The following is a 23854-nucleotide window of genomic DNA, read 5'->3' on the forward strand; positions in this document are numbered from 1 at the left end:
AATCTCTCCAAACATATTCTGCCTGGTTAAAAAGATTGAGAACCGGCTTTAATACCTGGTGGCTTAAAAAAAAACCCACAAAAAACAAAAAACAAAGAAAAGCAGCCAGGTGCAGATGTCTGTAATCCCAGCACTTTGGGAGGCAGAGTTGGGTGGACTGCTTGAGCTCAGGAGTTCAAGACCAGCCTAGGTAATATGGTGAAACTGTCTCTAACAAAAATACAAAATTAGCTGGGCATGGTGGTGTGCACCTGTGGTCCCAGCTATTTGGGAGGCTGAGGTGGGAGAATCACTGGAGCCCAGCAAGTTGAGGCTGCAGTGAGCTGTGATCGCACAACTGTACCACAGCCTGGGTGACAGAGCAAGACCGTCTGAAAAAATTGAGAGCTGCTGACCTAACCATACACAACTCTGTACCCCATAGTATCCACAGGTTGGCACTGTCCCTGTGCTTTCCCTTCTTCCTCAAGGCCAATTAAAAAGCAGAGATTTGGCCAGGCACCGTGGCTCATGCCTGTAATCCCAGCACTTTGGGAGGCCGAGGCGGGTGGATCACCTGAGGTCAGGAGTTCAAGAGCAGCCTGACCAACATGGAGAAACCCCGTCTCTACTGAAAAAAAAAAAAATATATATATATATATATATACATATACACACACACACACACACACACACACACACAATAATTAGCCAGGCATGGTGGCGCATGCCTGTAATCCCAGCTACTTGGGAGGCTAAGGCAGGAGAATCGCTTGAACCTGGGAGGCGGAGGTTGCGGTGAGCAGAGATCCTGCCATTGCACTCCAGCCTGGGAAATAACAGAGAAACTCCGTTTCAAAAAAATAAAATAAAAAGCATAATTTGGCTGGGTGCAGTGGTTCCCACCTGTAATCCCAACACTTTGGGAGGCCGAGGCAGGCGGATCATGAGGTCAGATCGAGACCATCCTGTTAACACGGTGAAACCCCATCTGTACTAAAAATACAAAAAAGTAGCCGGGTGTGGTGGCATGCGGCTGTAGTTCCAGCTACTCAGGAGGCTGAGGCAGGGAGAATGGCTTGAACCCAGGTGGTGAAGTTACAGTGAGCCAAGATAATGCCACTGCATTCCAGCCTGGGTGACAAGAACGAGATTCCACCTCAGAAAAAAAAAAAAGGCACAGGTTTGGGAGGCAGGCAGATCACTTGAGGTCAGGACTAAGCCTGGTCAACATAGTGAAACCTCTACTAAAATCCCAATAACTAGGCTTGCTTCGTGACAGGTATCTGCAATCCCAGCTACTCGGGGCTGAGGCAGGACAATCACTCAATCCAGGTGGAGGCTGCAGGGAGGCGAGATGGCACTACTGCACTCCAGCTTGACTCCATTGTCCCTTGCTTCCCCCAGGAAAAAACAGATTTGGGCTGGGTGTGGTGTCTGTAGTCCCAGCCCCAGCTGCTGGTTAAAGTCAAGTAGGTTTGCTTAAGCCCAAAAGCTTGAAGCTGCAGTGAGGTTGTGATCATGTCACTGTACTCTAAGACTAGGCAAGAGAAAAAAAAAAAAGATGGATGTTCTACTCAGGTTACTCATTTAACACACTGCCTATCAGGCAAACTGTCAGATGTCCCTTCAAGTTCCAGGTACTTCAGGGAGCATGAGAGGAAAGCCAGTTTCCCATGGAAATTTACACACTGATGCTAAGAGACACATACACACAAAAAAAGTAAACAGGACTATGTAATCAATCATTTTATTATTTTCATCAACAACCAACACAGCAACACAAATTGACAGCCAGTCCTCAAGGGAACCTTTTTTGAAGTGAAGAGCAAGGCCCTGAATGAGCTACCTACATGGAACATAGTATTTGCAATATGCAAATGGAGACCTAAAGGCTCATGACGGGAACAGAAGGTGGCTGTATACAGAGGAACAGACACGAAGTGGAGTTATGGGAAGTTCAATCAACAATTGGCAACAAGCTAGGTCAGTAGTTTACGAAAGTGGTCATCTATACAGTGCCTGAGTTTGGGTTCTGGGCCTGGATCATGTAAGAAAGGCAGCAAAGTCTGGGTGCCATGAATCACACCTGCAATCCCAGCACTTTGGAAATCTGTGGTGAGAGGATCTCTTAAAGCTATGGCCTTGAAACCAGCCTGGGTAACAAAACCAAGCCCTTGTATCTAAAAAACAAAAGGGCAGGTAGATTCCAGATAAATAATGTTGCAGGAAGGGGGTGATAAAATACAGAAATGTGATACACAGCAAACCCTCAACTGCTGTTTCATTGGCTCCCAGTGTCTTAATCTGTGTCTGCTAACACTTTAAGGTACATCTGAAATACCCCCCAAACCCAGAAAGCTTTTCAACAGCTAGGTTGTCCAAGAACTTGGAAAATTCACCTTCTGATGTCCTCCAAGACAGATTCCTGCAGAGGTAAAAAAAAAAGTTCTTATTGGATTGGAAAATACAAATGAACACAATATTTAACACTATGTAACCTAGGAGCAAAAGGTTGCTATTATAAAATCAGTTAAATATTTAAACAGATACCTACCATTTTTTATACACCTTATTTGCTCAGACCTGGAAAAAATAAAACCAATGTTTTCAACAAGTGATGATTACTCCCTTTCTCTGTATAGAAATCTTTATCATCCCTCAGACAGTTCCTTCTGGAACAAATCTTCCTCTTCTCCCCCAGCCAGTCCCAGTGGGTTCACCTTTACAGGCTCTGGGACTAGGACAGAGAGTAAGACATGTGAAAGTTTCTTCATTGGGAATTTTTAGCATAGTCCACCTTACATTTAGGTTTACTCACCTGTAACTTCAGCCTGGAGTGAACACAGACACCTAGTTTTCCTGCAAAATCAAGAAAGAAAAATGTAGTCTTGAGAGACTTTCATTCTATGTCACATTTTACAATCTCTCAATTGTATCTATTGCTTGGCAGAAAGAAGTTTCAGGGCACATTTTATAGGAAACACTACTTAGCCCAAGAACTTCCTATTGGCTGTAAAGCCTCCTCAAATAACTTGCAATTTTTAGAACATGTCACTGGAAGGCAGGCTCACAGCTCAGAAAATACCTTTCAGTCACACATTGATCAGACTGGGGCGGTATTCAACTCATCACTGGTGAGCAGCAATTCATCACTGGTGGTTCAGGAGATCAAAGACTTTGGGTTAAGCCAGTTATGTCTGTGTACATTCACCCAGACCACAGTGCTATCACACACAAAAATCACAGAAAATTTTATATAGCAGCCATTGATGGTAACTATTGCAAAGCCATTTACCTCAAACTCCTCTTGGGCTTTAGAGAGAAGGTGCTGGCCCTGAAAGGAGGAAGACCAAGTCAGTAGTGCTTCTCATATCCCGCATTATGTTGTTCCCACCCATCATTCTCAGAAAATCAGATTTCAGAGTCTCAACAGCAAGTCATCAGCCGAACGAGATTCCATGTAAGTCATCACAAACACAGGCCTAAAAAGGCACTTTTTCCTACCCTATATACTGAGTGCATTGAATACCGTGAAATTACTCACCTTTGAGCCAAGCAGGTTATTGGTTAGTAGTACCTAGAGAAAAACAAAGCTGTGGGTGAAAGATTCCTCAGACATGGTTACCCCCCACTCCCTGCGTTCTCCAGTTTCTCAGGTGTTCATGTATTTTCACTGTCGGTCATAGTGAGCTAGTTTGATTCATCATAGAAACTGCCTACTTGGTGGCATAAGCTGTAAGGAACAAAAAATATCAACTAACCTCTCAGCTCTGAAGGCTTTTCAATGGTATATAGCAACAAGCTGCTCCTGAATCAAAAAATCATTCAATTAGCTAATTATCCCAAACAGCCAAAACTATTTTAGTTACGGTTGCTAATGGACAAACTAAGAAAAGGTAACCAAATGTCTCAGACAATTCCTTATGGAATAAGCTCTCATGCCCTCTTCATGTTAACCCTGGTGAGTTCACAATTACTGGTTCCCAGGCTAAAACAGGGGTAAGGCAGGATGTTTCCTCCTCATTGGAGCAGAATCCTGGAAAGCTACAACTGACAAGCATTCGTCTGACCCTGGGCAGATCAGTGGGCATCTATCTGAGAAAAAAGGGGCATATATCAGTGGGCATCTATCTAGAAACATCACTACAGAGAACAAGAGGAACCAGAAAACTTTATGGGTTAAGCAGGCTTTGGTAACAAATATCAAAATGGCTAAGTTATCTATTAGATAATAGGCCCATAGAATTCGAAAAACAACTTACTGTAAGATAGAGGCAGACTGTCATCAGGAATACCTGGAAAGGAAAGCAAATTAGTTATTTTAAGGTATTAGGATGGAATGAAGCTTATTCATAAACAACAACTGCCATCAGAACTCTAACATGCTATTAACTTTTGTACCTCACAGAACATCAGCTTATCAATTCAAATCATCTGACAGTAACGTGATCGATATATGGATGAGGGTAACAGCACACCCTTACAAGAACTGTAGTACCGGGTTGCGATCTCCCTCCCCAGAAAATCATTTCAAGAGGAACAAGATGGAAGGCGCCAAAAAACATTGTTCCGCCGGCCACTTGTTTTCTTGAACATTTACAAAGATGACATACACCAATTTGGATAATTACCTGTATTCACCCTGGGAGGCAGCTGAATTCCCCAGGATAGATTATGAGATGCTGTAGACAACAGAGGAAAGCATTTTATGTACCTAAAAATAGTCATTCAAAGACCCCTTAAGACCTCTCTCTCACTTCTCAGTAGTAAGATGACATCACTTGAAAGTTCAGCCATATGCTTGTCATTTTGTGTTCATCATGGAGTGGTTATCTACAAGGTCTCCTCTGTAAGAGCATAAACCATGTACACCTACCTGGAACATTACTGTAACGCTGGCTTTGCATAAAGATGGGTCTTGTCCCATTCCTTCACCAGTAAGCTCTTGTGGGCTGAACATCTGAAAAAATAACACCCTTCACTAACACCTCAGACAAATCAATAGGGCCCTGACATTTGTTGCGTACAGTACAGTGCTACTCAGAATTTTCTGTTTTCTCCACTAATCCATCAGAAAGAGAGAGTTCAGTTCGTAAAATCATCCCCGTAGCAACTTCCACACACTCAACGAAAGAGCAGAGATTAAGAAATGGCCGTAAGAACTTACTGCAACAACAGAGCTCTCTTCGGTTCCAACGTGCGCGTAAATCCTGCAGACAGGAGCCCAATAAGACATTAGGTCAACTCAGGGCATTTCGAAAACGCTATTTTCTGAACAGACGGCTAAGCAAGAGGCTTGCAGGGCCCATCTCCTCAGAGTTATTTATCCTCACGGAGCTCAGTACAGGTCTGTGAAAAGGTCCTCATCATAGGAAGGGGGACCTACACGGCCCGCCATCGCCATTTTGTCCTTCACAAAGCCCCACTGCTACTTTTAAGCCTCGAGGCCACGCACAAGACCTTATCCGCCAGTCGCCCTGGCCAGGCAGCTACAACACAGAAGGCATAGTGCGTGCTATGCTATGTTCGCACAATCGCTCAAAAGAAAATAAAAGAAAAAGACAAAGTACAAAAGAGTAACAGCTATAAAGACCACGAAGCCACTTACCACGAGCAGTAGAAAAATGAGAACGAATCTCCCCGGGGAGACGATTAAATACCATGCCGCAGAGGCCCACGGGATTTGGGGGCGGGGCTACGGCGAGCGCACGCGCATACGTTGACCGCATGCGACCCCGGGGAGTTGTGGGTAGAGAGTTCCAGGGAAGGAGGGCGTAGACAAAGCGCCACCTGAACTTGCGGCGCGAAAAAGGCGCGCATGCGTCCTACGGGAGCGTGCTGGCTCACCGACCGCATTGCGGCTTGGTTTTCTCACCCAGTGCATGTGGCAGGAGCGGTGAGATCACTGCCTCACGGCGATCCTGGACTGACGGTCACGACTGCCTACCCTCTAACCCTGTTCTGAGCTGCCCCTTGCCCACACACCCCAAACCTGTGTGCAGGATCCGCCTCCATGGAGCTACAGCCTCCTGAAGCCTCGATCGCCGTCGTGTCGATTCCGCGCCAGTTGCCTGGCTCACATTCGGAGGCTGGTGTCCAGGGTCTCAGCGCGGGGGACGACTCAGGTACTGGATCCCGGGCTAAGCTCGGGAGGAGGTCCCCTTTGGTGGGGCCATTTCGGGAAAGTATGTCAGGACGTAAGTGCTTCACTGAAGACAGGATCTGATTTTTTCCTAACTGGTTCCCTATGTCCTGCCTTCTGGTGCGTTTTCTTTAGATCTTGGACTACTACGGGCCAACATTAGCTAACATTTATGGAGCACCGTTTTAAGCACACTATATGAATCGATTAATCCACCAAAATCCCAAGAGCTAGGTAGGATGACAACCCCCATTTTATTGATGGGGAACCCTAAAGAGCTCCGGCGGTGCTGCCTGCTGCAACTCCTGCCTGATCAATATGGTTGCAGTCAGCTATAGACTGTTTTACTGAGACCGGACAACATTAGTTCAGTCGTTTGTGGTAAACATCTACGTGTACAAGCACACTTTATAAACATTTTTTTCTTTCTTTTTTTTTTTTTTTGAGACGGAGTTTCGCTCTTGTTGCCCAGGCTGGAATGCAATGGCCCGATCTCAGCTCACTGCATTCCACCTCCCGGGTTCAAGCAATTCTCCTGCCTCAGCCTCCTGAGTAGCTGGGATTACAGGCATGCGCCACTGTGACCGGCTAATTTTGTATTTTTAGTAGAGACAGGGTTTCTCCATGTTGGTCAGGCCGGTCTTGAACTCCTGACCTCGGGTGATCCGCCTGCCTCGGCCTCCCAAAGTGCTGGGATTACAGGCGTGAGCCACCGCGCCCGGCCAAACATTTTTTTCTTTCAAGACGGAGGCTTGCTCTGTCGCCCAGGCTGGAGTGCAGTGGCGGGATGTCTGTTCACTGCAACCTCCGCTTCCCAGGTTCAAGCGATTCTCCTTCCTCAGCCTCCTGAGTAGCTGGGATTACAGGCTCCCGCCATCATCATGCCACACTAATTTTTGTGTTTTTCGGAGAGACGGGGTTTCATCATGTTGGCCAGGCTGCTCTCGAACTACTGACCTCAGGTGACCTCCTGCCTCAGCCTCCCAAACTGCTGGGATTACAGGGGTGGGCCACCACACCCGGCCTGGCTCAGCATTTTGGGAGGCCAAGGCGGGAGGATCTCTTGAGCCCAAGAGTTCAAGACCAGTCTAAGCAACATAGTGAGAAACCCATACCGATCTCTACAAAAAAAATAGAAAAAATTAGCCAGGAGCGGTGGTGCATGCCTGTAGCCCCAGCTGCTTGGGAGGCTAAGGTGGGAGGATTGCTTGAGCCCAGGAGGTTGAGACTGCAAATGAGCTGTGATCAAGCCACTGCACTGCACTCCAGCCTGGATGACTGAGATTGACCCTGTCTCAAAAAAAAAAAAAAAAAAAAAAAAAAAATGTGGGACAGATAAACTGGAAAATCAAGATGGCCCAGAGTAGACAGACAAGGCTGGGGAGGTTGTGTGTGGGAATGGCAGTCGGGAAATGCTTTATAGAGTGTCTGGGCCTGAAAGGGTAGAAAGACTTGGGAGGGGAATTCCAGTTAAAGGAACAACTGGAGCACAAGCTTGGTGCTAGAAAAAGAAGGAAGTGTGTAGCTACAATTCATGAAAGATGGGCAAAAGGGGAGTATTAGAATATAAAACTGGAAAGTATTTCCTGGGGAAAGCCAGATAAGCAGGACCTTGAATGCAAAGCTAAATCATTTGAATTATACATAGAAAAGAAAAAAAAACCGGGGAGAGTTTTTAAGTAGGAAAGTGATAAGACATTGGGGGATAAGATGGAGACAAGGGCATTAATTAGATTGCCATAGTAGTTTAGGCAAGAGGATTCAATGCTAACAAGTATAATGGCAGTGGAAGTGGAAAAGAGGGGATTTAGGTTAGGGGTCTCCAACTCACGTACAGAAATCAGCTAAGTAATGTAGGTAAGTGAAATGAACTGAGTTGGGACTCTGGTGAACTGGGCAGCCCTTTCACAGCTCCAGCTGATTGTTGCCTTGCGACAATATTGTCTCTGTGTGATCAGATAGTCAGTTTTCAAAAGAATCCAGAAGTCCAGAATTGTGTATTTACTCACGTTGAAATGTTGAATTTAAAATTTTTTGGCCGGGCGTGGTGGCTCATGCCTGTAATCCTAGCACCTTGGGAGGCCAAAGTGGGCGGATCACCTGAGGTCAGGAGTTAGAGTGAAGGGGTGGGTTGCCCCTCCACACCTGTGGATGTTTCTCCTAAGGTGGAACGAGAGACTTAGGAAAGAAAAAGACAGAGACAAAGTATAGAGAAAGAAATAAGGGGACCCGGGGAACCAGCGTTCAGCATATGGAGGATCCCGCCAGCCTCTGAGTTCCCTTAGTATTTATTGATCATTCGTGGGTGTTTCTCGAAGAGGGGGTTGTGTCAGGGCCACAAGACAATAGTGGGGAGAGGGTCAGCAGACAAACACGTGAACAAAGGTCTTTGCATCATAGACAAGGTAAAGGATTAAGTGCTGTGCTTTTAGATATGCATACACATAAACATCTCAATGCTTTACAAAGCAGTATTGCTGCCCGCAGATCCCACCTCCAGCCCTAAGGCGGTTTTTCCCTATCTCAGTAGATGGAACGTACAATCGGGTTTTATACCGAGACATTCCATTGCCCAGGGACGGGCAGGAGACAGATGCCTTCCTCTTGTCTCAACTGCAAGAGGCATGCCTTCCTCTTATACTAATCCTCCTCAGCACAGACGCTTTACGGGTGTCGGGCTGGGGGACAGTCAGGTCTTTCCCTTCCCACGAGGCCATATTTCAGACTATCACATGGGGAGAAACCTTGGACAATACCTGGCTTTCCTAGGCAGAGGTCCCTGCGGCCTTCCGCAGTTTTTGTGTCCCTGGGTACTTGAGATTAGGGAGTGGTGATGACTCTTAAGGAGCATGCTGCCTTCAAGCATCTGTTTAACAAAGCACATCTCGCACCGCCCTTAATCCATTGAACCCTGAGTTTGACACAGCACATGTTTCAGAGAGCACGGGGTTGGGGGTAAGGTCACAGAATCTCAAGGCAGAAGAATTTTTCTTAGTACATAACAAAATGGAGTCTCCCATGTCTATTTCTTTCTACACAGACACAGTAACAATCTGATCTCTCTTGCTTTTCCCCACATTAGAGACCAGCATGGCCAACATGGTGAAAACCCTTCTCTACTAAAAATTCAAAAATAAGCCGGGCGTGGTGTGGGTGCGGTGGCAGGCGATTGTAATCCTAGCTACTTAGGAGGCTGAGGCAGGAGAAGTGGTTGAACCCGGGAGGTGGAAGTTGCAGTGAGCCAAGATCACCCCACTGCACTCCAGCCTGGGGGACAAGAGTGAGTCTCAAAAACAAACAAAAAACCAAAATATGCCCGTGGGCCAAAGGTGGCCTTTGATTGTGAGTTTGCAACCTCTTGTGAGTGACATAGAATCTACTAGAAAAGAGGGCATTTTAAAAAAAGTAGGCTGGGTGGAGCGGCTCACGCCTGTAATCCTGAAGGGGGCCAGCCCCTCCACACCTGTGGGTATTTCTCGTCAGGTGGGACGAGAGACTGAGAAAAGAAATAAGACACAGAGACAAAGTATAGAGGAAGAAAAGTGGACCCGGGGACTGGCGCTCAGCATACGGAGGACCCGCACCAGCACTGGTCTCTGAGTTCCCTCAGTATTTATTGATCACTATCTCTACCATCTCAGCCAGAGGGATGTGGCAGGACTATAGGGTAATGGTGGGGAGAGGGTCAGCAGGAAAACATGTGAGCAAAGGACTCTGTGTCATAAATAAGTTTAAGGAAAGGTGCTGTGCCTTGATGTGCACGTAGGCCACATTTATGATTGACTTTACACAAACATCTCAGCGCAGTAAAGAGCAGTATTGGCCGGGCGCGGTGGCTCACGCCTGTAATCCCAGCACTTTGGGAGGCTGAGGTGGGTGGATCACGAGGTCAGGAGTTCGAGACCATCCTGGTTAACATGGTGAAACCCCGTCTCTACTAAAAATACAAAAAAAAAATTAGCCGGGTGTGATGGCGTGCGCCTGTAGTCCCAGCTACTTGGGAGGCTGAGGCAGGAGAATGGTGTGAAACCTGGGCGACAAGGCGAGACTCTGTCTCAAAAAAAAAAAAAAAGCAGTATTGCCGCCAGCATGTCTAACCTCCAGCCATAAGGCGGTTTTCTCCTATCTCAGTAAATAGAATGTACAATCGGGTTTTATACAGAGATATTCCATTCCCAGGGACTAGCAGGAGACAGATGCCTTCCTCTTATCTCAACTGCAAAGAGGCCTTCCTCTTTCACTAATCCTTCTCAGCACAGACCCTTTATGGGTGTCTGGGGGACGGTCAGGTCTTTCCATTCCCATGAGGCCATATCTCAGGCTGTCTCAGTGGAGAGAAACCTTGGACGATACCCAGGCTTTCTTGGGCAGAGGTCCCTGCGGCCTTCCGCAGTGCACTGTGTCCCTGGGTACTCGAGACTGGAGAATGGCGATGACTTTTACCAAGCATACTGCCTGCAAACACATTTTTAACAAAGCACATCCTGCACAGCCCTAAATCCATTAAACCTTGAGTCAATACAGTGCATGTTTCTGCGAGCACAGGGTTGGGGCTAGGGTTACAGATTAACGGTGTTTCAAGGCAGAATAATTTTTCTTAGTACAGATCAAAATGGAGTTTCTTATGTCTTCCTTTTTCCACATAGACACAGTAACAGTGTGATCTCTCTTTCTTTCCCCCACATAATCCCAGCACTTTGGGAGGCCAAGGCAAGCAGACTACTTGAGCCCAGGAGTTTGAGACCAGCCTGGGCAACATATGGAGCCCGTCTCTACAAAAATAAAAATTAGCTGCGTGTGGTGGTGCATGTGTATAGTCCCAGTTCTGGGGGAGGCTGAGGTGGGGAGGATTGCTTGAGCCCAGGAGTTCAAGGCTGCAGTGAGCTTTAATTGTGCAACAAATAGAGGCCCTGTCTCAAAAAAAAAAGAGGGTTTCACTCTTGGTCACTGTAACCTCAAACTCCTGCACACAAGCAATCCTCTGGGCTGAGCTGGGACTACAGGCATGGGCCACCGTGCCCAGCTAATCTATTTTGCTTTTTGAATAGACAGAGGTCTTGCTGTGTTGCCCAGGCTGGTCTCAAACTCCTGGGCTCAAGTGATTCTCCAGCCTTGGCCTCCCAAAGCAATCCCTAGGTAACAGACTCAGTCTGGCTTCCTGGCTCTGGCTTCTTCCCTTCTAGTTCATTCTCCACACTGTAGTCAGAGTGATCTTTACGAATAAAAACTCTGGTCGGTCGGGCACAGTGGCTCATGCCTGTAATTCCAGCACGTTGGGAGGCCTAGGCGTGTGGATCACTTGAGGTTGGGAGTTCGAGACCAGCCTGACCAACATGGAGAAACCCCATCTCTACTAAAAATACAAAATCAGCCAGGCGTGGTGGCATATGCCTGTAATTCGAGCTACTCAGGAGGCTGAGGCAGGAGAGTCGCTTGAGAAAGGCGGAGGATGCGGTGAGCTGAGATCGTGCCACTGCACTCCAGCCTGGCCAACAAGAGCAAAACCTCTCTCAAAAAAAAAAAAAAAAAAAAAAAGTCTGGTCAGGTCCCACTTCAGCTCACAATCAGTTCAGTGCCTCTCCATTGTCTTTAAGCTATAGCCCAAATTGATCAATACAGCCATTAAGAAGTGCTGCTAGGCCAGGCGCGGTGGCTTACCTGTAATCCCAGCACTTTGGGAGGCCAAGGCAGGCGGATTACCTGAGGTCAGGAGTTCAAGACCAGCCTGGGCAACATGGTGAAATCCCGTCTCTACTAAAAATACAAAAATTAGCTGGACATGTTGGAGTGTGCCTGTAATCCCAGCTACTCGGGAGGCTGAGGCATAAGAATTGCTTGAACCTGGGAGGTGGAGGCAACGATGAGCTCATCGCAACGATGAGCTGAGATCACGCCATTGCACTCCAGCCTGGGCGACAGAGTGAGACTCTGTCTCAAAAAAAAAAAAAAAAAAAAAAAAGCCCTGCTTCTAACAGGGCCAATGGCTCACACCTGTAATCCCAGCACTTTGGGAGGCGAAGGTGAGAGGGTCCCTTGAGGCCAGAGGTTTGAGACCAGCCTGGGCAACATAGTAAGATGAAACCCCCATCTCTACAGGAAAAAAGCCCTTCCTCCCTATCGCCACCCCTCCCCCAAGCCTAAACTACCCCTTCTCACCCACAGTCAACTCCCTGGGGTTTGATTTTATCTAGGTAAATCATCCTGCTATCTCTATTGTCTAGCAGAATACAATTCACAAATAGGACTCAATATACATTTATTAGTTACCTCTATAAGTTTTTTTCAGTTTGCCTCTTTATGTTGGGAATGCTGTAAATTTTTAAATGATCTTTTCTCAGCCAATTCATTGACTGTCCTACCTTACCAAATGATTTTGCTCTTAGAGAGGTCTGGAGAGTGTTTGTTCAAGGAGCAACCCTGCCCCCACCTGGCAGCAAGAGGCACTGCCTCAATTAATAGAGGAGAAGGATATGCAAATGACCAGTGCTTGTCAGGGAACTGGCAGAGACGTGACAGTGGAGAAAAGGCTCAAATTCTTTTTGAGATGGGGTCTCATTCTGTCACCCAGGCTGGAGTGCAGTGGCGTGATCTCAGTTCACTGCAACCTCTGCCTCCCAGGTTCAAGCGATTCTCTTGCCTCAGCCTCCTGAGTAGCTGGGATTACAGGCGCTGCAACCACTCCCAGCTGATTTTTATGTTTTTAGTAGAGACGGGGTTTCACCATGTTGGCCAGGCTAGTCTCGAACCCCTGACCTTAAGTGATCAGCCTGGCTTAGCCTCCTAAAGTGCTGGGATTACAGGCGTGAGCCACCACTCTGGGCCTCAATTTCTTTTCTTTTTGAACCAGGATCTCACTCTGTCACCTAGGCTGGAATGCAGTGTGTGATCACGGCTCACTGCAGTGTTGAACTCCTGGGCTCAGAGGATCCTCCCACCTCAGCCTCCTGAGTAACTGGGACTGTAGGCATGTGCCATCACACCCAGCTAATTCTTTAATTTTTTGGAGTGTGACAGTGCCTCACTATGGTGCCTAGGCGGGTCTCCAACTCCTGGGCTCAAGCGACCAAATTGCTGGGAAACAGGCATGAGCCACTATACCTGGCCCAACATAAATAGAATTTCCTGGGTTGTGGAGGAGTGTGACATTGAGGTGGTCTTCCAGGGAAGAGGTGCTTTTACAACTGCAGTGGGTAACATGGGTATCTGGGCTACCTGCTCATGCAATGTACTAATGTTTTCTGGTTCTGCTTTCAGCTTCATCATGAATATACCATTTCCATCTTTATATCTGACTAAAGGGTCTGTCTGACTTTATGACTTGATAGGTCTGACAAGACCCAATTCATAATGGGGCAGTTCTGGATGCTTCATAGTCAAGCTTTCCAGTAACAGCCCTGATGCTGTTTCTCAAAAGGCACCTACTTCCCTGCTTTGGACAGCTTGGCCTTGCTCCAGAATCTCAGGGACTTGCATTGTGCTTTTGCCATAGGAGCTTGCCATAAGTTCTACACTGAATCTTTTTTTCGCTACTGATACTTTGAACCCCCAGGATCTGCTGGATTGCATGGCTTAAGTGTGCATTGCATCCTAGACTTGATGCAGAGCCCTTTCCTGCTCAGAGTTTGAGTCAAAGTTGGCAGCTTAGCCGGTATGTGGGCTGGAGATATATTTCTAAGTCTGGATGTGACAGACACCACACCCGTGCATTCTTTTTGTCTTTAATGGTGGCACTAATCTCTGTCCCTCCCCAGGATGTGATACTGCTTTTGATTTACTATCATAGCTGAAGAGAGGGAGGGGTTTTAGAGATCTCTTTGTCTGTCCCACTATGATAGGTCTTACCTCTTAGGCCAAGGACCCAATGCGATTACTTCAACTCCTAAGTATATCAATCCTGTTAAATACTTGGTTTTTTTTTTTTTTGAGATGGAATGTGCTGGCTTGCAGTGGTGCCATCTGGGCTCACTGCAACTTCCACCTTCCGAGTTCAAGCAATTCTTGGTCCTCAGCCTCCCAAGCAGCTGAGGCTATAGGCGCGCACCAGCACGCCTGGCTAATTATTTTTTTTATTTTTATTTTTATTTTTGAGACGGAGTCTCGCTCTGTCGCCCAGGCTGGAGTGCAGTGGCGCGATCTCGGCTCACTGCAAGCTCCACCTCCCGGGTTCACGCCATTCTCCTGCCTCAGCCTTGCGAGTAGCTGGGATTACAGGCGCCCACCACCAAGTCTGGCTAATTTTTTGTATTTTTAGTAGAGACGGGGTTTCACTGTGTTAGCCAGGATGGTGTCGACCTCCTGACCTCGTGATCCGCCCGCCTCGGCCTCCCAAAGTGCTGGGATTACAGGTGTGAGCCACCACGCCCGGCCGCTAATTTTTTTTTTTGTTTTGAGACAGAGTCCCACTCTGTCGCCTAGGCTGGAGTGCAGTGGTGCAATCTCGGCTCACTGCAACCTCCACCTCCTGGGTTCAAGCAATTCTCCTGCCTCAGCCTCCCATGCCCAGTCCCCGTTTAAACACTTGGAACTGAGGAAATATCTAGTGATGGGTCCATGGACAAGCAGACTTACTATGAGCTAGTAAGTTTTGGCTAGGACTTCAGTTACTGCCTGACACCTGTAAGTCCCCACTGTAATGTGGGAATCATGATGAAGCTTTGGGTTTCCAGGTCTCAATGTCAGCTCAGATCTTGTGCCCAAAATCCTCAAAGTGTTTAGGCATTTCCCTTTACCCAGTGTACCGTTATCTGAGTAAGTGATATGTTGACATTCTCCCTTTTAGGAGGAACTGGCAGAACCGTTACAGTTTTAGCATCCTTTCGTAGGGATTTGTGTACCTCTTCAGTAATTGAGTTTTGGATGTGAAAGTTGTTTCAGCCAGGTGCGGTGGCTCATGCCTGTAATCCCAGCACTTTGGGAGGCTAAGGCAGTCAGATCACTTGAGGTCAGGAGTTTGAGACCAGCCTGGCCAATGTGGCGAAACCCCATCTCTACTAAAAATACAAAAATTAGCTGGGCATGGTGGCGTGTGCCCGTAATCCCAGCTACTAGGGAGGCTGAGGCAGGAGAGTCCCTTGAACCCTGGAGGTGGAGGATGTTGCAGTGAGCCTAGATTGCACCACTGCACTCCAGCCTGGGCAACAGAGCAAGACTCTGTCTCCCCCACAAAAAAAAAAAAAAAAAAAAAAGTTGGCTTAGATCCAGGAGCTGAATCAAGGATTTTGCCTGTTTATTGTGGTGATTGCCCTTAGCTGCCTCTTCCTCCTCTATTCTTGCCTTTTTCTGTTTGTAGATGCTTAGTAGCATCCTTTTTGGCTATCCGCATATTTTTCCCCTAAGGATGCCATGCTCTATTGTATCCACAACTCTGTGAATCAAACGCCTCATGGCTACCCCTGCAACATTGACAGTTTTATGGTAGTTGCATATTTCTGGCTTTTGGCAGCTAAGCAATGCTACCCAGCCTCTGTTACGTGTTGGGAGATACTTCCCCGTATATCTTGAGTAGCTCAGCTCTGACTGCTTCTCCTGTCATCAGCTGTGGACTGCTCAGAAGCCACCACTGAATTTCTAAGTGATGCTGATGTCCACCGATGTCACCAGTATATTCTTGATGGTCTTGTAAATGTGTCCTTCGGGTCCTTTCTTGGAACACCATTCTCTGGTCTCACATAGTACAGTATAGTACGTATATCTATTCCAGCATGCCCACTTTTTTCAGCCACTTTTTTTTTTTTTTTGGATGGAGTTTTGCTCTTGTCGCCCAGGCTGGAGTGCAATGGTACGATCTTGGCTCATTGCAACCTCTGCCTCCTGGGTTCAAGAGATTCTTCTGCCTCGGCCTCCCAAGTAGCTGGGATTACAGGTGCCTGCCGCCATCCCCAGCTAATTTTTGTATTTTTAGTAGAGACGGGGTTTCACCATGTTGGCCATGCTGGTCTTGAACTCCTGACCTCAGGTGATCCATCCTGATGGGAATGTTAATTGTGGTAGTTTCTTTGCTTTTTTTTGGCAGGTGGGGGGGTGGTCTCACTCTATTGCCCAGGCTGGAGTGCAGTGGCACGATCTTGGCTCACTGTAAACTCTATCTCCTGGGTCCAAGCTACTCTCGTGCCTCAGCCTCCCAAGTAGCTGGGATTACAGGTGTGTGCCACCAAACCTGGCTAATTTTTGTATTTTTAATAGAGATGGGCCTTCACCATGTTGGCCAGGTTGATTGCAAGCTCCTGACCTCAGGTGATCCGCCCTCCGCAGCCTCCCAAAGTGCTGAGATTACAAGGTGAGCCACCGCATCTGGCCCTGCTTTTTTGGTCTGTGAGCCAGAATAGTATCTGTTCTTATCCTCTAACATCTCATCAGTTCTGTACTTGAGGATACTTTATCAGATAGATTTTTGGAACAGGGAGATTGAATAAAAACTTAAACTTGCTCATCCTTTTTACAAGTCAATATAGTATTGCATTACCTCCATGAATGCTGTGGTTCTACCTTTTGGGGCAGATGTCAGTTAAAATTCAGACTGTCACATTCCACCGTATCTTTTGGTTTCTGGAAAAAACTTTAAGGTGAATCTGCTATTTCTTTTTTCTTCTTTTTCTTTTTCTTTCTGTTTTTTTGAGATGGAGTTTCTTGTTGTGCAGGCTGGAGTGCGATGGACTGATCTCGGCTCGCCGCAACCTCCGCCTCCCAGGTTCAAGTGATTCTCCTGCCTCAGCCTCCTGAGTAGCTGGGATTACAGGCATGCGCTACCACGCCCAGCTAATTTTTTGTATTTTTAGTAGAGATGGGGTTTCTCCATGTTGGTCAGGCTGATCTTGAACTCCTGACCTCAGGTGTTGCGCCCACCTCGGCCTCCCAAAGTGCTGGGATTACAGGTGTGAGCCACCGTGCCTGGCCTATTTCCCTTTATTCTTTCTCTTTTCTTTTCTTTTTTTTTTTTTTTTTTTTTTGATACAGAGTCTCGCTCTGTCTCCAGGCTGGAGTGCAGTGGCCCGACCTTGGCTCACTGCACTCTCCGCCTCCCGGGTTCAAGCTATTCTCCTGCTTCAGCCTCCCGAGTAGCTGGGATTACAGGCGTGCACCATCACACCCAGCTAATTTTTGTGTTTTTAGTAGAGACGTGGTTTCACCATGTTGGCCAGGATGGTCTCGATCCCCTGACCTTTTGATCTGCCTATCTCTGCCTCCCAAACTGCTGGGATTACAGGCGTGAGCCACCGTGCCCGGCTGCTTCCCTCTTTCTTTAAATTTAATTTAATTTTTAAAATTAAGATGTTTATCTCACTATGTTGCCCAGGCTGGTCTCAAACTCTTGGCCACAAACAATCCTCCCACCTCAGCCTTTCAAAGTGCTGGGATTATAGGCATGAGCCACCATGCCTGACCCCTTTTTTCTTTAACATTATGTTTTTGACACATTTTTGCCTATCTTTTATGTCCTGGTTCTTTCAAATTTAGTCATTTCTAGTATTCTAGTTAGAAATTTTCTACAAATTATTTTACAAATGTTCTACAAATTATTTTTCAAAAAAAATTTTTTTTTTTTGAGACAGTCTCACTCTTGTCGCCCAGGCTGGAGTGCAATAGCATGATCTTGGCTCACTGCAACCTCTTCCACCCAGGTTCAAGTGATTCTCCTGCCTCAGCCTCCTGAGTAGCTGCGATTACAGCCTCCTGCCACCATGCCCAGCTAATTTTTGTATTTTTAGTAGAGACGGGGTTTCACAGTGTGGTCCAGGCTGGTCTCAAACTCCTGACTTCAGGTGATCTGCCTGCCTTGGCCTCCCAAAGTGCTAGGATTACAGGTGTGAGCCACCACGCCTGGCCTATTTTTCAAATTTCCAAATTTTTACTACTATAACCAGTGCTGCAGTGAAATCTTTTATATATTGTTTTGTGTACATGTGTGAGAGTTTCTCTAGGGTATGAATCTAGCTAGGACTGTTGGTGGGTAAAAGGGTATTTTCATTCTTTTTTTTTTTTTTTTTTGAGATGGAGTCTCACTCTCTTGCCCAGGCTGGAGTGCAGTGGCACGATCTCCACTCACTGCAACCTCTGCCTCCTGGGTTCACGCCATTCTCCTGCCTCAGCCTCCTGAGTAGCTGGGACTACAGGCGCCCGCCACCACGCCTGGCTAATTTTTTGTATTTTTAGTGGAGACGGGGTTTCACCATGTTAGCCAGGATGGTGTTGATCTCCTCACCTCGTGATCTGCCCGCCTCGGCCTCCCAAAGTGCTGGGATTACAGGCGTGAGCCACCGTGCCCGGCCAAGGGTATTTTCATTCTATAGGCGGTTGCAAATTGCTCTCCTAGAACGGATGTACCAACTAATGTTGCCACTTATGCAATTTGTATCCTCCTAATCACTTGGTTTAGTCAGATGTTTTCATATTGCCAATCTGACGGACATGAAATTCTATTTTCTTGCCATTTTAATTTGCACTTTCCAGATTACTAATGAGGTTTTGTAATCTTTACCATTCTTTTGTATATCTAATTTTGTGAATTGGCTTTTTTGTTTTTGAGACGGTCTCATTCTGTCGCCCAGGCTGGAGTGCAGTGGTGTGATTTCAGTTCACTGCAACTTCTGCCTCCCGTGTTCAAGTGATTCTCCCACCTCAGCCTCCCGAATAGCTGGGACGACAGGCTTGCACCACCACGCCCCGCTAATTTTTGTATTTTTAGTAGAGACAGGGTTTCACCATGTTGGCCAGGCTGGTCTTGAACTCCTGACCTCAAGTGATCCACCCACCTTGGCCTCCCAAAGTGCTGGGATTACAGGTGTGAGACACCACGCCTGGCCTGAATTGGCTATTTCTATTATGTGATTAGAATAGAATTTCTATTTGGTGGGTGCCGTGGCTTACATCTGTAATCCCTGCACTTTGGGAGGCCGAGATGGGCGGATCACAAGGTCAGGAGATCGAGACCATCCTGGCTAATACGGTGAAACCCTGTCTCTACTAAAAATACAAAAAATTAGCCAGGCGTGGTGGCGGGCGCCTGTAGTCCCAGCTACTCTGGAGGCTGAGGCAGGAGAATGGCATGAACCCAGGAGGCGGAGGTTGCAGTGAGGCGAGATTGCACCACTGCACTCCAGCCTGGGTGATAGAGCGAGACTCCATCTCAAAAAAAAAAAAAAAAAAAAAAAGAATAGAATTTCTATTTGGTGATTTTTTTTCTTGATGATTATTGGTTTTTTTCGTACTGGTTTTTAGTGATAATTTATATGTTTCATCTACTTTGTTAGCTATATTAGTTTCAGATAGTATGTCTTCTATTTGTGGCTTGTCTTTTCAGTTTGTTATGGCAAATTGTGATGCATAATTTTTTCTCTTTTAATGTTGCACAATTTATTTGTCTTTTTCTTCATGATTTATTCTTTTGTGTATTTTTTTTTTTTTTGAGTTGGAGTCTTGCTCTGTCGCCCAGGTTGGAGTGCAGTGGCGCGATCTCGGCTCATTGCAACCTCTGCCTCCCGGGTTCAAGCTATTCTCCTGCCTCAGCCTCTTGAGTAGCTGAGATTACAGGTGCCTGCCACCACGCCCAGCTAATTTTTGTATTTTTAGTAGAGACGGGGTTTCCCCATGTTGGCTAGGCTGCTCTCTGGCCAGGCTTGTCTCGAACTCCTGACCTTGTGATCTGCCCGCCCTGGTCTCCCAAAGTGCTGGGATTACAGACGTGAGCCACCGCACCTGGCCTCTTTTGTTTCTTCTTTAAAACTCTTTTCTTATCCTGAGGTCAGAAAGATATTCTTATTTTTTTCTGAAATTTTATTTATTTACTTATTTATTTATTTTTTTTTGAGACAGAGTCTCACTTTGTTGCCAGCCTGGAGTGCAGTGGCGTGATCTCGGCTCACTGCAACCTCTGCCTCCCAGGTTCAAGCTATTCTCCTGCCTCAGCCTCCCAGGTAGATGGGACTACAGGTGTGCGTCACCACGCCCAGCTAATTTTTGTATTTTTAGTAGAGATGGGGTTTTTTTTACCATGTTGGCCAGGATGGTCTTGATCTCGTGACCTTGTGATCCGCCCGCCTTGGCTTCCCAAAGTACTGGGATTACAGGTGTGAGCCACCGCGCCTGGCCTATTTGATTACTTAGAATATAATTTTGTGATTGGTGTGAAGTAGTGATCTAATTTTATTTTTTTATAGTACCATTTGGTAAATAGTTCATTCTTTCCCCACTGATTATATTATCTCTGTCGTATATTGTTTCAAGTATGCATGAGTTATTTTTAGGCTCGTTTTCTGTTCCGTTGGACACTTGCCCATCCCTGTGTCTTTAGCATACTATGATTGTTACTTTATACATTATTATTATTATTATTTTTTTTTTTTTTTGTAGAGTTGGGGTCTCACTGTGTTGCCCAGACTGGTCTCGAACTCTTGGCCTCAGGTGATCCTCTTCCCTCAGCTTCCCAGAATGCCGAGATGATAGGTAATAATAATAATAATAATTATTATTATTATTATTATTATTATTATTATTATTATTTGAGATGGAGTCTTGCTCTGTTGCCCAGGCTGGAGTGCACTGGCGCGATCTCCACTTACTGCAAGCTCCGCCTCCTGGGTTCAAGGTTCAGGTGTTTCTCCTGCCTCAGCTTCCTGAGTAGCTGGGACTACAGGCGCCCGCCACCACGCCTGGCTAATTTTTGTATTTTTAGTAGAGACGAGTTTCAGCATATTGGCCAGGCTGGTCTTAAACTCCTGACCTTGTGATCCGCCTGCCTTGGCCTCCCAAAGTGCTGGGATTACAGGCGTGAGCCATTGCGCCCGGCCTGATTACAGGTAATTATTCCTTTAGCAAATAACATGCCTGCTGCCTGGTAGGGCTTATCTTTTTTTTTTTTTTTTGGTGTGAAGTCTTGCTCTGTTGCCCAGGCTGCAGTGCAGTGGCGTGATCTTGGCTCACTGCAACCTCTGCCTCCCAGGTTCAAGCAATTCTCCTGCCTCAGCCTCCCAAATAGCTGGGATTTCAGGCACCCGCCACCATGCCTGACTAATTTTTTGTATTTTTAGTAGAGACGGAGTTTTGCCTCATTGGCCAGCCTGGTCTCGAACTCCTGATCTCAGGTTATCCGCCCGTCTCGGCCTCCCAAAGTGCTGGGATTACAGGCGTGAGCCACTGTGCCCAACCATACTTTATATAATATTATTATTATTATTATTTGTAGAGACGGGGTCTGACTGTGTTACCCAGGCTGGTCTTCAACTCTTGGCCTCAAGTGATCCTCCTGCCTTAGCTTCCAAGAATGCTGAGGTTACAGGTAATTATTATTTTAGCAAATAACATGCTTGCTATCTGGTAGAATTTGTCTTTAAAAATACGATTTTTTTTCTTTAAAGATATCTTTACTATTCTCTGCCCTTTTCTCTTGCACATGAATTATAGAGTCATCTTACAAAGTTCTCACCACCAGATATTAAGATTTGTATTAGAATTGCATTTGGATTTTTAGATTGTTTGGGGAGCACTAATTTCTTTATGACATCAAATCTTTATTTTATTATTATTATTATTATTTTTTGAGATGGAATCTTGCTCTGTCGCCCAGGCTGGAGTGCGGTGGCGTGATCACAGCTCACTGCAACCTCCGCCTCCTGGGTTCACGCCATTCTCCTGCCTCAGCCTCCCAAGTGGCTGGGACTACAGGCACACACCGCCACGCCTGGCTAAATTTTTTTTGTATTTTTAGTAGAGACGGGGTTTCACCATGTTAGCCAGGATGGTCTCGATCTCCTGACCTTGTGATCCGTCTGCCTGGCCTCCCAAAGTGCTGGGATTACAGGCGTAAGCCACTGCACCTGGCCCTCTGCTTTTTTAAAAAAAGAATTCATTAGCTGAGTGCAGTGGCTCACGCCTCTAATGCTAGCACTTTGGGAGGCAGATCACTTGAACCCGGGAGTTCGAGACCAGCTTGGACAACATGACAAAACCCTGTCTCTACCAAAAAATACAAAAATTAGCCAGGCATGGTTGCATGCTCCTGTAATACCAGCTGTTCAGGAGGCTGAGGTGGGAGGATTGCTTAAGCTGAGGAAGTCAAGGCTGTAGTAAGCCAAGATCACATTACTGCACTCCAGCCTGGGCAACAGAGAGAGACCCTGTCTCAAAAAAACCCAAGAAACAGAAAACAGAATTTGTCTTTAGTTTCTCTATAGTCCAGCCTCCTTTTAAGAGACTTGGTGTTGAAATTAACCAATTTTTTCTTTCTTTGAGACGGAGTTTCACTCTTCTTGGCCAGGCTAGAGTGCAATGGCTCGATCTCGGCTCACTGCAACCTCTGCCTCCCCGGTTCAAGTGATTCTCCTGCCTTATTCTCCTGAGTAGCTAGGATTACAGGCATGTGCCACCACACCTGGCTAATTTTGTATTTTTAGTAGAGATGGGGTTTCTCCATGTTGGTCAGGCTGGTGTTTAACTCCTGCCCTCAGGTGATCCGCCCGCCTTGGCCTCCCAAAGTGTTGGGATTACAGGCGTGAGCCACTGTGCCTGGCCTAACCAATTTTTTAGTTGCAGAATGAGTGATATTTCAAATTCAATTTTCTGTTACAGCATACCATACTCTAAATATCTACTTCTCAATATTTTATATTCTCTTTCACCTTATTGATTATAAAATATATATATATTTTTCAGACAGGGTCTCGCTCTGTGGCCTTGGCTGGAGTGCAGTGGTGTGATCTCAGCTTACTGCACCCTCAACTTCCCAGGCTCAAGTGATACCTCCCACCTCAGCCTCCCGAGTAGCTGGGACTACAGGCATGTGCAACCACACTCAGCTAATTTAAAAAATTTTTTGTGGCCGGGCCTGGTGGCTCACGTCTGTAATCCTAGCATTTTGGGAGGCCAAGTCGGGCAGATCATGAGGTCAGGAGTTCGAGAACAGCCTGGCCAACATTAGTGAAACCCCGTCTCTACTAAAAATACAAAAATTAGCCGGGCATGGTGGTGGGCCCCTGTAGTCCCAGGTACTCTGGGAGGCTGAGGCAGGAGAATCACTTGAACCTGGGAGGCAGAGGTTGCAGTGAGCCGAGATCGCACCACTGCACACCAGCCAGGGTGACAGTGCGAAACTCTGTCTCAAAAAAAAAAAAAAATTTTGTACAGACAAGGTCTCACTATATTGCCCAATCTGGTCTTGAACTCCTGGGATCAAGTAATCCTCCTACCTTGGCCTTGCAAAGTGCTGGGAGTACTAGGTGTGAGCCACCACACCCGGCCAGCTAATTAAAATCAAACTTTTTTTTATAGAGACACGGGGTCTTGCTACGTGGCCCTGTCTGGTCTCAAACTTCTGGGCTCTAATGATTCTCCCATTTTGGCCTCCCAAATTACAGGCGTGAGCCATGGCACCTGGCCAGGCTCATCAGTTATTTGTTTTTTTGTTTATTTCTAATTTTTATTTTAATTATTTTAGACCAGTTCTAGCTCTGTTGCCCAGGCTAGAGTGCAGTGGTGCAATCATAACTCACTGTAGCTTCAACCTCCTGGGCTCAAGTGGTCCCTCCCACCTCAGCTTCCCAAGTAGCTGGGACCCCAGGTACTTGCACCATGCCCAGCTAATTTTTTTTTTTTTTTTTTTTTTTTTTTTTTTTTTTTTGGAGAAAGAGTCTCAAATAATTTATGTAGATCTTCCCTCTGCCCAGAGATACAGAGTTTAACTCTGTACATCTTGAGTGCAGGCTGCGCTTAGTGATTCTCTTCCTCAGAGTGTGATGACAA

General features: G+C 46.4%; 1 protein-coding gene, 1 long non-coding RNA gene and 9 other non-coding genes across 24 annotated transcripts in view, besides 12 other annotated features; 1 reads left to right on the top strand and 10 right to left on the bottom strand.

The window, feature by feature from the left end:
- Window positions 166–355: an enhancer, noted in NCBI's record as "active region_4861". NCBI's record gives its function as "activates an Ori minimal core promoter by ATAC-STARR-seq in GM12878 lymphoblastoid cells {active_cell/tissue: GM12878}" and the evidence as "EXISTENCE:reporter gene assay evidence [ECO:0000049][PMID:35858748]".
- Window positions 406–465: an enhancer, noted in NCBI's record as "active region_4862". NCBI's record gives its function as "activates an Ori minimal core promoter by ATAC-STARR-seq in GM12878 lymphoblastoid cells {active_cell/tissue: GM12878}" and the evidence as "EXISTENCE:reporter gene assay evidence [ECO:0000049][PMID:35858748]".
- On the bottom strand, window positions 1704–5611 carry SNHG1 (small nucleolar RNA host gene 1). Of its 12 annotated transcripts, NR_152581.1 has the most exons (12): window positions 5591–5611; window positions 5150–5192; window positions 4859–4942; window positions 4614–4664; window positions 4245–4277; window positions 3744–3790; window positions 3527–3559; window positions 3278–3316; window positions 2801–2841; window positions 2537–2565; window positions 2382–2407; window positions 1704–2162 (listed from the first exon to the last, which is right to left on the bottom strand). It is a non-coding gene; the product is annotated as a small nucleolar RNA host gene 1 (long non-coding RNA). The 12 variants fall into 12 exon arrangements; NR_152583.1 differs by lacking the exon at window positions 4614–4664; NR_003098.2 differs by having other exon boundaries at window positions 1704–2407.
- SNORD22 (small nucleolar RNA, C/D box 22) lies at window positions 2636–2761 on the bottom strand. The gene has a single exon (NR_000008.2). It is a non-coding gene; the product is annotated as a small nucleolar RNA, C/D box 22 (small nucleolar RNA).
- On the bottom strand, window positions 3052–3119 carry SNORD31 (small nucleolar RNA, C/D box 31). Its single transcript, NR_002560.1, has one exon. It is a non-coding gene; the product is annotated as a small nucleolar RNA, C/D box 31 (small nucleolar RNA).
- On the bottom strand, window positions 3389–3458 carry SNORD30 (small nucleolar RNA, C/D box 30). The gene has a single exon (NR_002561.1). It is a non-coding gene; the product is annotated as a small nucleolar RNA, C/D box 30 (small nucleolar RNA).
- Window positions 3630–3694, bottom strand: SNORD29 (small nucleolar RNA, C/D box 29). The gene has a single exon (NR_002559.1). It is a non-coding gene; the product is annotated as a small nucleolar RNA, C/D box 29 (small nucleolar RNA).
- Window positions 3743–4717: an enhancer, noted in NCBI's record as "H3K27ac hESC enhancer chr11:62621489-62622463 (GRCh37/hg19 assembly coordinates)". NCBI's record gives its function as "activates a minimal SCP1, AML or CMV promoter by ChIP-STARR-seq in naive and primed H9 embryonic stem cells {active_cell/tissue: H9 hESC(naive and primed)}" and the evidence as "EXISTENCE:reporter gene assay evidence [ECO:0000049][PMID:30033119]".
- LOC124900306 (small nucleolar RNA SNORD22) lies at window positions 3887–4011 on the bottom strand. The gene has a single exon (XR_007063001.1). It is a non-coding gene; the product is annotated as a small nucleolar RNA SNORD22 (small nucleolar RNA).
- On the bottom strand, window positions 4347–4421 carry SNORD28 (small nucleolar RNA, C/D box 28). The gene has a single exon (NR_002562.1). It is a non-coding gene; the product is annotated as a small nucleolar RNA, C/D box 28 (small nucleolar RNA).
- Window positions 4738–4809, bottom strand: SNORD27 (small nucleolar RNA, C/D box 27). Its single transcript, NR_002563.1, has one exon. It is a non-coding gene; the product is annotated as a small nucleolar RNA, C/D box 27 (small nucleolar RNA).
- SNORD26 (small nucleolar RNA, C/D box 26) lies at window positions 5018–5092 on the bottom strand. The gene has a single exon (NR_002564.1). It is a non-coding gene; the product is annotated as a small nucleolar RNA, C/D box 26 (small nucleolar RNA).
- SNORD25 (small nucleolar RNA, C/D box 25) lies at window positions 5291–5357 on the bottom strand. The gene has a single exon (NR_002565.1). It is a non-coding gene; the product is annotated as a small nucleolar RNA, C/D box 25 (small nucleolar RNA).
- Window positions 5355–5434: an enhancer, noted in NCBI's record as "active region_4863". NCBI's record gives its function as "activates an Ori minimal core promoter by ATAC-STARR-seq in GM12878 lymphoblastoid cells {active_cell/tissue: GM12878}" and the evidence as "EXISTENCE:reporter gene assay evidence [ECO:0000049][PMID:35858748]".
- Window positions 5545–5724: an enhancer, noted in NCBI's record as "active region_4864". NCBI's record gives its function as "activates an Ori minimal core promoter by ATAC-STARR-seq in GM12878 lymphoblastoid cells {active_cell/tissue: GM12878}" and the evidence as "EXISTENCE:reporter gene assay evidence [ECO:0000049][PMID:35858748]".
- Window positions 5693–6666: an enhancer, noted in NCBI's record as "NANOG-H3K27ac-H3K4me1 hESC enhancer chr11:62623439-62624412 (GRCh37/hg19 assembly coordinates)". NCBI's record gives its function as "activates a minimal SCP1, AML or CMV promoter by ChIP-STARR-seq in naive H9 embryonic stem cells {active_cell/tissue: H9 hESC(naive)}" and the evidence as "EXISTENCE:reporter gene assay evidence [ECO:0000049][PMID:30033119]".
- Window positions 5785–5844: a silencer, noted in NCBI's record as "silent region_3434". NCBI's record gives its function as "represses an Ori minimal core promoter by ATAC-STARR-seq in GM12878 lymphoblastoid cells {active_cell/tissue: GM12878}" and the evidence as "EXISTENCE:reporter gene assay evidence [ECO:0000049][PMID:35858748]".
- The window catches only part of SLC3A2 (solute carrier family 3 member 2), a 32752-nt gene continuing 14732 nt past the window's right edge, over window positions 5835–23854 (top strand). The window contains exons 1-3 of one of the 3 annotated variants that reach the window (NM_002394.6): window positions 5835–6107; window positions 20471–20563; window positions 21303–21395. In NM_002394.6, coding sequence (NP_002385.3) covers window positions 5996–6107; window positions 20471–20563; window positions 21303–21395 — 298 coding nt within the window. In that variant the 5' untranslated portion in view covers window positions 5835–5995. The remainder of the gene's footprint in view (window positions 6108–20470; window positions 20564–21302; window positions 21396–23854) is intronic. The other 2 variants (NM_001012662.3, NM_001012664.3) reach the window with 2 other exon arrangements.
- Window positions 6667–7642: an enhancer, noted in NCBI's record as "NANOG-H3K27ac-H3K4me1 hESC enhancer chr11:62624413-62625388 (GRCh37/hg19 assembly coordinates)". NCBI's record gives its function as "activates a minimal SCP1, AML or CMV promoter by ChIP-STARR-seq in primed H9 embryonic stem cells {active_cell/tissue: H9 hESC(primed)}" and the evidence as "EXISTENCE:reporter gene assay evidence [ECO:0000049][PMID:30033119]".
- Window positions 7643–8616: an enhancer, noted in NCBI's record as "NANOG-H3K27ac hESC enhancer chr11:62625389-62626362 (GRCh37/hg19 assembly coordinates)". NCBI's record gives its function as "activates a minimal SCP1, AML or CMV promoter by ChIP-STARR-seq in primed H9 embryonic stem cells {active_cell/tissue: H9 hESC(primed)}" and the evidence as "EXISTENCE:reporter gene assay evidence [ECO:0000049][PMID:30033119]".
- Window positions 8617–9591: an enhancer, noted in NCBI's record as "NANOG-H3K27ac hESC enhancer chr11:62626363-62627337 (GRCh37/hg19 assembly coordinates)". NCBI's record gives its function as "activates a minimal SCP1, AML or CMV promoter by ChIP-STARR-seq in naive H9 embryonic stem cells {active_cell/tissue: H9 hESC(naive)}" and the evidence as "EXISTENCE:reporter gene assay evidence [ECO:0000049][PMID:30033119]".
- Window positions 10760–11664: an enhancer, noted in NCBI's record as "H3K27ac hESC enhancer chr11:62628506-62629410 (GRCh37/hg19 assembly coordinates)". NCBI's record gives its function as "activates a minimal SCP1, AML or CMV promoter by ChIP-STARR-seq in naive H9 embryonic stem cells {active_cell/tissue: H9 hESC(naive)}" and the evidence as "EXISTENCE:reporter gene assay evidence [ECO:0000049][PMID:30033119]".
- Window positions 16268–16426: a silencer, noted in NCBI's record as "fragment chr11:62634014-62634172 (GRCh37/hg19 assembly coordinates)". NCBI's record gives its function as "represses an EF-1alpha promoter that drives an FKBP-Casp9 reporter gene in an ReSE screen in phorbol 12-myristate 13-acetate-treated (for megakaryocytic differentiation) K562 erythroleukemia cells {active_cell/tissue: K562(+PMA)}" and the evidence as "EXISTENCE:reporter gene assay evidence [ECO:0000049][PMID:32094911]".

Source organism: Homo sapiens, chromosome 11 (genome assembly GCF_000001405.40).
Source record: "Homo sapiens chromosome 11, GRCh38.p14 Primary Assembly".
NCBI classification, from domain to species: Eukaryota; Metazoa; Chordata; class Mammalia; order Primates; family Hominidae; genus Homo; species Homo sapiens.